Source organism: Homo sapiens, chromosome 15 (genome assembly GCF_000001405.40).
Source record: "Homo sapiens chromosome 15, GRCh38.p14 Primary Assembly".
Classification (NCBI taxonomy): Eukaryota; Metazoa; Chordata; class Mammalia; order Primates; family Hominidae; genus Homo; species Homo sapiens.
In genome coordinates this window covers 65680946-65695118 of record NC_000015.10, presented here as the reverse complement: position 1 = coordinate 65695118, position 14173 = coordinate 65680946, and the positions used below count along the sequence as shown (strand labels likewise).

Sequence of the window (14173 nt, the reverse complement as noted above, 5' to 3'; positions counted from 1 at the left end):
TTGTAACAGAAACATTAAAAAATTTTTCCTCAATGTCATAGAGTTGTTTCACAACCATTTAGTCCTTTGTAACTAATTTTCTAATTATAACTCTTGATAACTTGCCTTTGATCTTTATTTTATTGTTCTTTCATTGCTGTCTGTTCATGCTTGCCCTCCTCTTAAGATCTGTGTTTAATTTTTTTATTTAAATATGATTGTACACCATCCTTTGATCTTGACATTTTGTCAGAATAATAAGCATCTGGTTAATCATCTGGCTTTCAGTTACCCTATATGCTGAACAAGTGAATTTTATAAAAGTGTAGAGTAGATTTCTTTGGTGTGAAGTAAAGTTATTGGTTTATCCTTGATGCTTTTGGCTTGAAAACTCTCATCTGTTAAGTACTATGGGTTTATTACTGCTGCCAAAGACCATACATGGGATATATAGAAATACTTATTATATACTTGTACATACTAGGATTTAAAGCATTTTTCGGGTTTATTTATATTTTGCAGTACAATATATGAATATTTTATTTATATCATTGAACACCCTTGTGTGTTTGTGTGTGTTTGTGTGTAAATGTATACATATATGGGAGTAGAATAAACAAAGATATGTTTTAATGTTTGATTGGATATTGAAATAAAATCATCACCCTATCTTGAATTTTTTTTTTTTTTGGAGACAGAGTCTCACTCTGGTGCCCAGGCTGGAGTGCAGTGGCACGATCTTGGCTCACTGCAACCTCTGCTTCCTGGGTTCAAGCAATTCTCATGTCTCAGCCTCCCTAGTAGATGGGATTACAGGCACACGCCACCACGCCTGGCTAATTTTTGTATTTTTAGTAGAGACGGAGTTTCACCATGTTGGCCAAGCTGGTCTCAAATTCCCAACCTCAGGCAATCTACCTGCCTTGGCCTTCCAAAGTGTTGGGATTACAGGCGTGAGCCTCTGCTCCAGCCCTCATTATTATCTTGAGAATTTAATGTTTTGATAAATACATATTGAATTACTGAGTGTTCAACCACAGAGAAGTTTAATTCTGAGATGTTTCTCTAAGCCTAATTCTGGTTTTAGTGTGCCTTTACTTTTTATCCTTAGCTACCCATAATATAATATTTTAATATTATAATGTAATGTATTATATTCCAGGTTGGTTTGTTGGCTGCAGTTACTGCCTAATAGACAGTATTCATTCAGTAAATATCTTTTAGATTCTACTATATGTCAGGTGCTACTGGGGGTATATTATAATAAGAAACAAAAAATAAACACGGATCCTGCCTTCATGGAGAAAGCAGGTAGAAGGGATGGGAAGACATTAATCAAGTAAATGTGAAAGTATTCTTAGATTAAATACTATGAAAAAGGACAGTAAGTTGCTATAAGAACATATAATAGATATGTCTTGGGTTTGGGGTTGTTAGGGAAGACTTCCTTCAGCATATCATTTTTGAGCTTAAATTTCAAATATGAGTGGAAAATAAATGAGGGTAGGAGTCAGAAAGGAGGAATTGAGAGGGTGCATTCCAAGCAGAAGGAAGCATGTATAAAAAGGCTGTTTGGTAGAAAGGAATCCCACAGCGTGTTCAAAGATCTGAGAAAAGGCTAGTATATCAGCTGGGCATACTTTCAGCTTTAAGTCTCGAATATGTGATTAACAGTGCTTAAAGAAGTTGCAGTTTATTTTTCTCAAACAGGAAATTCAGAGGTAAGCACTTGCTCTAAATGTTGGCTCAGGGGCTTTGCCATCAGTTCTTTTGACCTAACCATGATTACAGTATAGCCACTGGTAACTCCCCATATCACCTATTCGATCAAGCCAAAAAGAATGGGAAGAGAAACACCAGCCATATCTATTTCTTTTTTCAGGAAATAATTTTTCCAAAAACCCTCAAAAACTATACCTTAATATCACTGGCCGGAATTATGTCATAGAGCCACCTAGCCCAAGGAAGTTAAATAGTTTGCAGTCTTTGTGTTAGAGGCATGCAGCATCCAGCCTAGCATGTGTAATTTAGCATGTGTGTAAACTTAGGATCAGGCAAACTTTTTTGTAAAAGGCCGAATAGTAAGTATTTCAGGCCTTGCAGGGCACATAGAATCTCTGTTACCTGTTCTTCTGGGTGCATGATTTTTACAACCCTTTGCAAATGTAGAAACCATTTGAGACTCTACAAAAACAGGCCTCAGGCTAGATTTGGCTCATTGGTATAGTTTGCAAACCTCTGGTAAAGTCTGATAACCAACTTGGTCTTCAGGTCATAGCATATCACTGACTTTGCAAAGGAACCCTTGCACATCTATTTAAATGCAATTCCAGAGTATTATCTTTTGGTTACAAGATTCCTCCAGGTCTTTAGTAATATTTAACCTGTCAAGCAGAAAATTTCCCAGAATATCAGAAGAAAGTGTGTTCTTGATTTCCTATGTCCTCAATCGTAAGCTGGTGAAAAAAAGAATAAACTTTGCCTCTCTGATATGTCATTTTTCTTGTTAACGGTATATCCTTATTAAGTAATATTAGATGTAGGCTTTTATGACCTCTAGTATCCACTCTTATCTCTTGCCCTGCCATTTGCATGCATCACATGACAAGAAAAGGCACATTTTCAATACTTGTCTGGCTATAGAGAGCTAATTCTGTGCATAAAGCATGTAAGAAGAATAGTTGATGATACTATACCTAGACTAATGCTTTAGAGGACTCCCACATATAGTAAGAACAATTAAAGTGATCAGAGATCTAGATTTCTGCTTTTAGTATTGTCATCTAAGTAATTTGGTAGAAAACAGTGAACAGTATTTCCAAATAATGTGAAGTGGCCATTAACATTTGACTGGTATAAATGTGCAATCAATATGTTAAGCAAGGGTAAAATTATTTGGCCCCATTTATAGTTATAAGGACTTGGAGTTTTAAAAAATAACCTTTATTTATGGATAAAGTTAACATACTTCTATTTTGTTTCATGTTTTGGATGTTTTTTCTTTTTTCATTTTAATAAGCAGAAGATTCACAATTTTGGCTGGGCATGGTGGCTCAAGCCTATAATCCTAGCACTTTGGGAAGCCAAAGCAGAAGAATTTCTTGAGCCCAAGAGTTCAAGACCAACTTGGGCAACATAGTGAGATCCTGTGTCTAGCAAATTAAAAAAAAAAAAAAAAAAAGGAAGACTCAGAATCTCAAGGTCATCTAGTATAACCACAATTGTAAAACCATTGTAATTTATTTAGTGGAATTAATATAAATTCATTATTAAATATAAATCTTAATTGATAACATTTTTAAAAAGCAGTACATCCTGATGTCTAGGAGCATACCCTTTATAATTGGACAAATCTGAATTTGAATCCCAGTTCTGTCTCTTAAGGACTGGGTAACTCTGAGCTAGATAATTAATCTCTCTGAGTGTTCCTTTTTTCTCAACCCATAAGGATGTTGGAATGTTTACAGTAGGAAATATAAGTAAAGTGTTTAGTATAGTATCTGTCAAATAGCAGACACTCAGTGAGTGCTTGCTATTATCATTTTCATCACTAGAATTTTAAATATTTAAGATGACTTATATTTGCTATTATATTTTCATGGCTAAAAGCACTTTACTTGTTTTTCAGAAAGCACACCTGAGCTGCTCTTAATATCATCTCTTGAAGATACAAATGAAACACGAAACATTCAAAGTAGATGCTTCAGGAAAAGACATAAAAGTGACAATGAAACTAATTTGCAGCAGCAAGTGGTCTGGGGAAATAGAAACCGTAATCTTAGTGGAGGGGTACTGATGGGATTTATGCTCAATAGAATTAACCAGGAAGCAACCCCTGGAGATATAGTTGAAAAATTGGGAGCTGATGCAAAAATTCTTTCAAATGTTATCTCAAAAAGCACGAGACCAAATACTCTTGATATTGGGAAGCCACCTTTAAGATCAAAAAGAGACAGTCTAGAAAAGGAATCTAGTGATGATGATACACCTTTTGATGGTTCTAACTATTTGGCAGATAAAGTGGATTCTCCTGTTATTTTTGACTTAGAAGACTTAGACAGTGAAACAGATGTATCAAAAGCAGGATGTGTTGCTACACAAAATCCCAAGAGGATTCAACGTATGAACAGCAGCTTTTCAGTAAAACCTTTTGAAAAAACTGATGTCGCAACAGGATTTGATCCCCTCTCTCTTTTGGTTGCTGAGACTGAACAGCAGCAAAAAGAAGAAGAGGAGGAGGATGAAGATGATAGCAAAAGCATTTCAACACCATCTGCTAGGCGTGATTTAGCTGAAGAAATTGTGATGTATATGAATAACATGAGCAGTCCTTTGACAAGTCGTACACCAAGCATTGATTTACAACGGGCATGTGATGATAAATTAAATAAGAAAAGTCCACCATTGGTCAAGGCATGCAGAAGATCTAGTCTGCCTCCTAATTCTCCTAAGCCAGTGAGACTTACCAAATCTAAAAGTTACACAAAAAGTGAGGAGAAACCAAGGGATAGACTTTGGTCTTCTCCAGCCTTCTCACCTACTTGCCCATTTAGGGAAGAATCTCAGGATACATTAACCCACTCATCACCTTCATTTAACTTAGATACACTACTAGTACCTAAACTAGATGTTCTAAGAAACAGTATGTTCACTGCTGGAAAAGGAGTTGCAGAGAAAGCAAGCAAATGGTATTCAAGATTCACCATGTACACCACATCATCTAAGGTAAGTTTGGTTAGTATTTGCTACTTTTACTGTCACACACACATATCCATCACCACCAAAAGCCCCTTACTCGTTTTAACTATTCTTCTAAACATAGCTTTATAAAAAGGACTCATTGGGTATGTAAGTTTTGTAAGTATCAGAATTGGAACTGAAATAATAACTTCAAAGAAAAGAAAACTTACTAAGGTTATATTTGTAGTTCAGTTTTGAAAGAGTGATTTGTAGCTGGAGTAAGAATTAGTGTCACGTGAAAGTACTTACTGAATTTCAGTATTTCCTTCAAGATGCAGATTTTTTTTCCAGATAATGTGTCCAATATGCCCTCAAAAATTACCAGTCAGGCATATGATTTGCCCTTCTGGTTAGGATGGAGTAACTTACGATAGACTTACATACCTTCCCCTAAGAGCTAAAAGCTAGATGAAATAGAGAAAGTATCTGTTTAAAGTCATCAGAGAACTGCTGAAGTAACTAGAAAGCAGAGAGGCAGGATTCTAGAGAGGTGAGCTGAAGTTCTAGAGCCACTTTCTCCCTGAGGGGATTTGCTCATTATGGGCATGAAGCACTAGGTTGTAAATCTAGGCTTTCCCTTATCAGAAGTTTTGGGAACTTGTGGGTTAGAGAGACAAAATTGAAGACTTTAAGGGCCTCAAATACACTGAAGATTTTCTTCCTTCAAGACATTTTCCAAATACTTGATACTGCATGAGAAGGGTAAGTAGAACGTCTGTGAGAAATCAAGTTCTCAGAAGTTTCATGGTACTGGAATCATAATAGCTCGATTCAGGAGCTGCCAGAGGGAGGAGGGCCTCAGTTGGAATACTTACAGAGGTATGCCTTAGGACCATTGGCAAACCAGAGGTAGACTAAGCCTGACCAAAATTGCAACCTAGACTTGACTCAGGTTATCTGTGATTTGGTTAAAATAATCAGCTTTTACTCTATCAACAGAGAAAAGATTGTACCTTTTCTGGAGAAATAAAACATCAGTTAGAATCCTTACAGTTTTTAATATACAATGTCTATCACTCAATTAAAAATAGCTATGCCAAGAGACAGGAACATAGCTAAAAAATGAAGAAAGCAGATAACGGAAAGAGACCCTCAAGTGATCCAGATGTTTGAATTAACAAGGGACTTTGAAATAATTATAATATGTTCAAGAATATAAAGGAAAAGGTTTAAAAAATAACTGTAAAGATGGAAGATTTCACTAGATAATTGGAATGTATTAAAAATAATCAAACCTAAATTTTAGAACTGAAAATGAAATAAAAAGCAAAAATCTTGAGCCAGAGAGAAGAGATGCATTACCTGCAAAGGAGCAGTGGTCTTCTGAAGAGAAACTATGATGTCAGAAGACACTGGAAAGATATCTTTAAAGTGCTGAAAGAAAATAACTGTCAACCTATTTTTCTGTACTCAACAAAAATATTCTTTAGGAATTGGGGTGAGAATACTGGTTCCACTGTGGTAACGTAAGGCCACCACAGCCCATCCTTCCCACTGATTACAACTTAAAAACCAGACAAAATATAAAAAACAACTAAGGACTCTGAAAAATAAATAAAAGCAGGCAGTTTCTGGGGAGAGACCAACACAGAAATGAGTTTATCATTTCCTTTCCTCATGCATCTTTGCCCCAAGGGCAGTCACATCATGGCATGGCACCTCTGGCAGATAAACTTCAAGAGAAACCCCATATTTCCTGAACAGAGAAGCCTGAGAAAGAGGCCTCTTTGTGCAGAAAGTTTGAGGGGAATCCCATACAAGTTTCACCCTACCCCTTGACCTGCACAGTTATGGGACAGATGCAAACTGGAATAGAAAAGGCTTAAGTAACTGAACTGCAAGTTCACTGCCTACAAAAAGTAAAACACAAATTACAGTCTGAATATAACTCAAGTGTTTGCCTGCTGAAACAAGAGCATCAACAATCTCGGAAGTATTATAACAGTACCCAGGCTACATAACATAATATTCAGTGTCCAAGATAAAATCCAAAATTACTTGGTATAAAGGACCAGGAAAATGTGACCAGTTCTCAAGGAAAAGACAACTCCAGAATGACTCAGATGTTGGAAGTATCAGGGAAAAACTTTAAAGCAGCTTCCATAACTGGTTCCTTTAGGTAAAGGAAAACACATTTGAAATAAATTAAAATAAATTCTAGCAAGAAATAGAATGTATTAAAACAAATTTTATAACTGAAATATAATCCAATGTAAACTGATCAAATGGGTTAAATAACAGAATGGAGATGACAATGAAAAGTAAACTTAAAGATACAGTAATAGAAATTAGAAGAAGAGAGAAAAGATTTTTATAAAAATAAACAGCCTCAGGGACTTGTGTGACAATATCAAAAGGAACAAATGAAATATGGATAACTGGAGTTCCAGAAGAACTGAAGAGAGATTCTGTTAGAAAAGATATTTGAAGATTTGAAAAAATAATGGCTGAAACCTCCAAAATTGGTAAAAGATACAGATTTATAGATACAAGAGACTCAGCAAATTACAGACAGAATTAAACTCAAAACCACACTTGCACACATCAAAAGTAAACTAAAAATCAGAGATATTCACCTGCTAACAAGAAAACGGCTGCTAAAAAAAAATTAAAATACACTGAAAGCTGTTAAAAAATTATTCATTACCTACGGAGCCATAAAGATTTGAATGTACCCATGCACTTTTCATCACAATCCTTGGAAGAATTTAGTGGAATGGTGCCTTTAACGCATTGGAAGAAAAGACCTGTCAACTCAGAATTTTATATCCAGTGAAAATATTCTTCATGGGTGAAGGTGAAATAAAGACATTTTCAGATAAAATAATTCATGAGCAATGGGATTGCTCTATGAGATATGCTGAAGGAAGTTATTTAAACTGAAGAAAAATGATACCAAAGAGAAACCTGCATCTTCAGGAATAAAATAAATGCAAAATAAATGGTAAATAGCTGGTTATTAGAAAAGATTACTTTTTTGCCTCCTAAACTGAAAAAAAAAGAAAAGAAAAACCTATAATTGTCCAAAACAAAAATAGTAACATTATCTCATGGAATTTTAAATATGCATAGATGTTTGACAGTAGTGAACATCAGTAGTAAAGGAACTTACCCCACAGACCTTCATTATAGTTATATTATTAAATATGAAATGATATAAAACTAACTCCAAGTAGACTTTAAATGATTAGATATGTATATTGTAATCCCTGGAGCACTGAGTTAAAAAATACAGTGAGATGTAGCCAAAAAGCCAATAAAAATATTCAAATAGTCTTACAGAGAACAGGAAATCTTAAAGAGGCCAAGAAAGGGGGAACAGAGAAATAGACTAGATCTAACCATATGAATAATTAAATGATAACAATCTAAACACCTCAATTAAAAGGCAGACTTTGGCTAGGCATGGTGGCTCATGCTTGTAATCCCAGCTCTCTGGAAGGCCAAGCCAGGAGGATTGCTTGAAGCCAGGAGTTTGAAACCAGCGTGGGCAACATAGCAAGACCCTGTCTGTACAATTTTTTTTTTTTTTTAATTTTAACTAGCTGGCCATGGTGGCACATACCTATGTAGTCCTAGCTACTCAGGAGGCTAAGGCAGGTGTGTTGCTTGAACCCAGAAGTTCAAGGCTGTAGTGAGCTATGATTGTGCCACTGCACTCCAACCTGAGCAACAGACTGATCTCATAATAATGAGGAGTTGGATGTTATGGTGTGTTCCTGTAGTTCCAGCTACTCAGGAGGTTGAGGTGGGAGGTCTGGATTGCTTGAGTCCAGGAGTTCTAGGCCAACCAGGGCAGCATAGCAAGACTTTGTCTCTGAAAAATATTGATTATAAGAAACAGTTCATCAGGAAGACACAATAATTATCCATGTATATTCACTAAATCACAGAGCCTCAAAACAATGACACAATTGGTAGAATTAAGGGGAGTTCTAAATCTGAGTAGGAAATTTAAAAACGCTCAGTTGATAGAAGAGGTAACAAAAATTGGTCAAGACAAATCTCAGCAACACAATCAGCTACTTTTATATAATTGACATTTATAGAATATACACTCAACAACTACAGAATACACTATTTTCAAGTGTATACAGTACAGTCATCAAGATAAACTATGTTTGGCTATTTAAAAAACCTCAGTCAATTGAAAAGGATCCAAATCAAAGTACATTGTAAAGAGTTACAGAACATTACTGAGGGATTTTAAAAGAGATTTAAATAAATGGAGAGACATGCCATGTTCATGGAATTGAAGACTCGGTATTGTTAAGCTGCAACCCTCCCTACATTGGCATCTAAATGTATATCAAAATTGCACCTATCAAAATTCTAGCAGGATTTTGTAGAATTTGACAAGCTGATCCTAAAATTAATATAGAAAATAGAAGGACCCAGCATAGCCAAAACAATTTGGAAAAAGAAAAAGTTGGAGGACTCACACTTCCCAATTTCAAAATTTACTACAAAGCTACAGCTATCAAGACTGTGCTGCTAGCATAAACAGAGATGAATAGATGAGAGAATAAAATTTAGACTCCAGAAATAAACTCTTATGTTTATGGTTATTTAAATTTCAATAAAGATGCCAAGGCAATTCAATGGGGAAATGATAGTTTTTGTCAAAAAATGGTGCTGAGATAATTGGATATCTGCATGCAAATACAGTCAGACTTCTGTATCTGCAAGTTCTGCTTCCATGGATTCAACCAACCACAGATTGAAAATATTACATAAATACAAATAATACAGTATAAGAACTATTTACATAGCATTTACATTGTATTAGGTATTATAAGTAACCTAGAGATGATTTAACTTGTACAGGAGGATGTGCATAGGTTATGTGCAAATACCAACCCCCTGTGGATACTGAGGGATGACTGTAGGTGAATGTAGACACTCAACTTATATACAAGCATTAACACAAAAAGGATAAGATGTCTAAATGTAAGAGCTAACACTATAAAAATTGTGGGCTGGCGGTGGCTCACGCCTGTAATCCCAACACTTTGGGAGGCCAAGGCAGGCGAATCACGAGGTCAGGAGATCTAGACCATCCTGGCTAACACAGTGAAACCCCGTGTCTACTAAAAATACAAAAAATTAGCCGGGCACGGTGCCAGGCGCCTGTAGTCCCAGCTACTCGGGAGGCTGAGGCAGGGAAATGGCGTGACCCCGGGAGGCGGAGCTTGCGGTGAGCTGAGATTGCGCCACTGCACTCTGGCCTAGGCGACAGAGTGAGACACGGTCTCAAAAAAAAAAAAATTGTGGGCGGGGCGTGGTGGCTCATGCCTGTAATCTGAGAACTTTGGGAGGCTGAGGCGGGCAGATCCCCTGAGGTCAGGAGTTTAAGACTAGCCTGGCTAACATGGTGAAACCCCCGTTTCTACTAAAAATACGAAAGATTAGCCAGGCATGGTGGTGCATGCCTGTAATCCCAGCTACTTGGGAGGCTGAGGTAGGAGAATCGCTTGAAGCCCGGAGGCGGAGATTGCGGTGAGCCAAGATCGCGCCATTGCACGCCAGCTTCAGCAACAAGAGCAAAACTCCGTCTCAAAAAAAAAAAAAAAAAAAAAAATTGGAAGAAAATATAGGAAGAAAATCTTTTAAGACCTTGAATTAAGCCAAGAATTCTTAGGTATGATACCAGAAACAGTCTATAAAAGGAAAAATTGATAAGTTAGGCATTATCAAAATTGAAGACTTTTGTGATCCAAAAATGAAAATGTAAGAAAATGAAAAGCCACAGACTGGGGAAAAGATACGCAAATTCTGTATTTAGTAAAGGACTTGAATCCATAATATACAAACAACTCACACAGCTCAATGATAAGATAAACAACCCAAGTTAAAAATAGATCTAAATAGATATTTCACCAAAGAAGAGATATTAATGGACGAAAAGCACATGAAACATGTTCAACATAATTAGTTATTAGGCATTAATTGCATTTGGAGCCACAGTGAAATCCCATTTCACACTCACTAGAGGAATGGCTATAATCCAAAAGATGATGACAAGTGGAGGGGATGTGGAGAAATGGGAACCCTCATACTTTTTTGGTTGGGAATGTAAAATGGTACAGCCACTTTGGAAAACAATTTGGCAGCTTCTTTAAAAGCTAAGCATTAATTTAACATATGACCCAGCAGTTCCACTCTAAATAATCTACCCAAGAGAAATGAAAACATAGACTACACAAAGATTTTATGTGAATAATCATAACATTGTTCATAAAAGCCAAAAAGTGGAAACAACCCAAATTTCCGTCAACTGGAAAATAGGTAAAATGTGTTATACAGTGGAATATAATTGAGCAATACAAAAGAACGAAATACTGATACATGCCTTAAAAATTGGTGAACCTCAAATACATGTTTATTTTAAGTGGATTAAGCCAGATTTTAAAAGACCAAATATTGTATGAATCCATTGATATGAAATGTCCAGAAAAGGCAAATCTGTAGACACAGTATATTAGTGGTTGCCTGGTGTTAGGAAGGCAATGGAGATTAACTGTAAATGGGCATGAGGTATCTTACTGGGGTGGTAAAGATTTTCTAAAATTAGAAACGTTCTAAAAGTTGGTAAATTTACTACAAAGATTATTGAATTGTAGACTTAATATGAGTGAATGTTATGACATGAAAATTAAGCCCCAATAAGGTTTCTTTTAAATCAAGCATATTTTCTGACCACAATAGAATTCAATTACAAATCACTAAGAATAAGTAAGAGATCAAGAAAAACCTGAACACACTTTCAAATAATTTGAATCAAAGATAAAATCATAAAGGAAATTAGAATAATGTTTGAGTGGAATGAACAAAAATATATCAAAATTTGTGGGATACAACTAAGAGGTGCTTAGAGGTTAACTCATAGCTTTAAGTGCTGTAGTTAGAAGTGATTTAAAATTAATGATTTATGGTTCTGCCTTAAGAAACTAGAAAAAAAGAACAAAGTAAGCTCAAAGTAGGAAGAAGGAAGTAATAAACATGGAGCAAAAATCAGTAAAACTGAAAAGATGGAAAGCATAAGAATATCAATAAAACCAAAAGCTGATTCTTTAAAAAGAACAAAATTGACACACTGCTGGCTAGACTGATCTAGAAAAAGAGAACACAATCACTAATATCAGAAAGATCCCACCTAAAGATTAAAATAAATAATATTTTTAAAGCCTAGCGTAGGCAGGTCTCATTTTATTGCACTTGCTTTACTGCTCTACACAAATGTCATGCTTTTTACAAATTGAAAGTTTGTGGCAAACCTGTGTTGAGCAAGTCAATTGGTATCATTTTCCAACAGCGTGTGCTTACTTCATGTCTCTGTGTCACATTTTGGTAATTCTTGCAATATTTCAAACTTTTTTGTTATTATATCTGTTATGGTGACTTGTGATCCATGATCCTTGATGTTATTATTGTAATAGTTTTGAGACACCATGAACTGTTCCCATATAAGATGGTAAACTTCATCGATAAATGTTGTGTAATTTCTGACTGTCCACCAAATGGCCATTCTCCTGACTCTCTCCCTCTCCTCAGGCCTTCTTATTCCTTGAGACACAACAATATTGAAATTAGGCCAATTAATAACCCTACAGTGGCTTCTAAAGTGTTCACATGAAAGGACGAGTCACACATTTTTCACTTTAAATCAAAAGCTAGAAATGATTAAGCTTAATGAGGAAGGTATGTCAAAAGCCAAGAAAGGCCGAAAGTGAGGTCTCCTGCACCAAACAGCCAAGTTGTGAATGCAAAGGGAAAGTTCTTGAAGGAAATTAAAAGTGACATGAGTGATAAGACAGCAAAACAGTGTTATTGCCAAAAAGGAGAAAGTTTGAGTGGTCTGGATAGATCACATCAGCCACAATATTCCCTTAAGCTAAAGCCTAATCCAGAGCAAGGCCCTAACTAACTCTCTTCAGTTTTATGAAGGCTGAGAAAGCTGAGGAAGCTGCAGAAGAAAAGTTTGAAGCCAGCAGAGGTTGGCTCATGAGGTTTAAAGAAAGAAGCTGTCTCTATAACATAAAAGTGCAGGATGAAGCAGCAAGTGCTAATATAGAAGATGTAGCTAATTATCCCCGAGACCTATGTAAGGTCACTGATGAAGGTGGCTATACTAAACAACAGATTTTCAATGCAGATCAAACAGCCCTGTATTGGAAGAAGATGCCCATCTAGGACTTTGATGGAGAGAGAGGAAAAGTCAGTGTCCGGCGTCCAGGCTTCAAAGGACAGGCTGACTCTCTTGTTAGGGGGTAGTGTAGCTGGTGATGTTAAATTAAGCCAATGCTCATCTACCATTCTGAAAATCCTAGAATTTGCTAAAGCTACTCTCTGCCTGTGCTCTGTAAATGGAACAAAAAACCTGGATGACAGCACATCTGTTTACAACATGGTTTACTGAATGTTTAAACCCATTGTTGAGACCTACTGCTCAGAAAAAATATATTTATTTCAAAATATTACTGCTCATTGACAATGCACCTAGTCATGCAAGAGCTCCAATAGAAAAGCAGTTGCCAGGTGCAGTGGCTCACGCGTGTAATCCCAACGCTTTGGAAGGCTGAGGCAGGCGGATCCCTTGAGCTCAGAAATTTGAGACCAGTCTGGGCAACATGGCAAAACCCTGTCTCTACAAAAAATTAGCTGGGTGTGGTGGCACATGCCTGTGGTCCCAGCTACTCAGGAAGCGGAGGTGGGAGAATCGCTTGAATCTGGGAAGCGGAGGTTGCATTGGGCTGAGATGACTGTCTGTACTCCAGCCTGGCTGACAGAATTATACCCCCATCTCAAAAAAAAAAAAAACAAAAAAATGAAATGTCAAGGAGTCAAGTTGAATGATGAAAAAAGAAATGTCAAGGAGATTTATTGTTTTCATGCTAGTATTCATTCTGCAGCCCATGGATCAAGGAGTCGCTTTTACTTTTAACTTAGTATTTAAGAAATACATTTCATAAAGTTATAGCCATAATAGGTGGTGATTCCTGTGATGGATCTGGGCAAAATAAATTGAAAACCTTCTGGAAAGGATTCTCTTCTAGATGCAATTAATGGCATTCATAATTCACAGGAGGAGATCAAAATGGCAACATTAACTGGAGTTTGGAAGAAATAGATTCCAGTTCTCAAGGATGATTTTGAGGGGTTCAGGACTTCAGTGGAGGAATTATGCAGATATGGTGAAAATAGCAAAAACCCCTAGAATTAGAAGTGGAGCCTTGAGGATGTGACTTAATTGCTGCAATCAAATAATAAAACTTGAAGGGATGAGGAGTTGCTTCTAATGGATGAGCAAAGAAAGTTGTCAGACAGCATCACATGCTACAGAGAAATCTTTCTTGAAAGGAAGAGTCAATGGAGCAAACTTCATTATTATCCTCTTTTTTACCACAGCCACTCAACCTTCAGCAGCCACCACTCTGTTCAGTCACCAGCCATC

At 36.5% G+C, this 14173-nt stretch overlaps 1 protein-coding gene across 28 annotated transcripts in view; it reads left to right on the top strand.

The window, feature by feature from the left end:
• DENND4A (DENN domain containing 4A) overlaps positions 1-14173 on the top strand; it is a 133171-nt gene that overhangs the window by 97175 nt on the left and 21823 nt on the right. For all 28 annotated transcript variants that reach the window (NM_001376920.1, XM_047432100.1, XM_047432097.1 and 25 more), the window contains one exon: positions 3608-4704. In NM_001376920.1, coding sequence (NP_001363849.1) covers positions 3608-4704 — 1097 coding nt within the window. The remainder of the gene's footprint in view (positions 1-3607; positions 4705-14173) is intronic.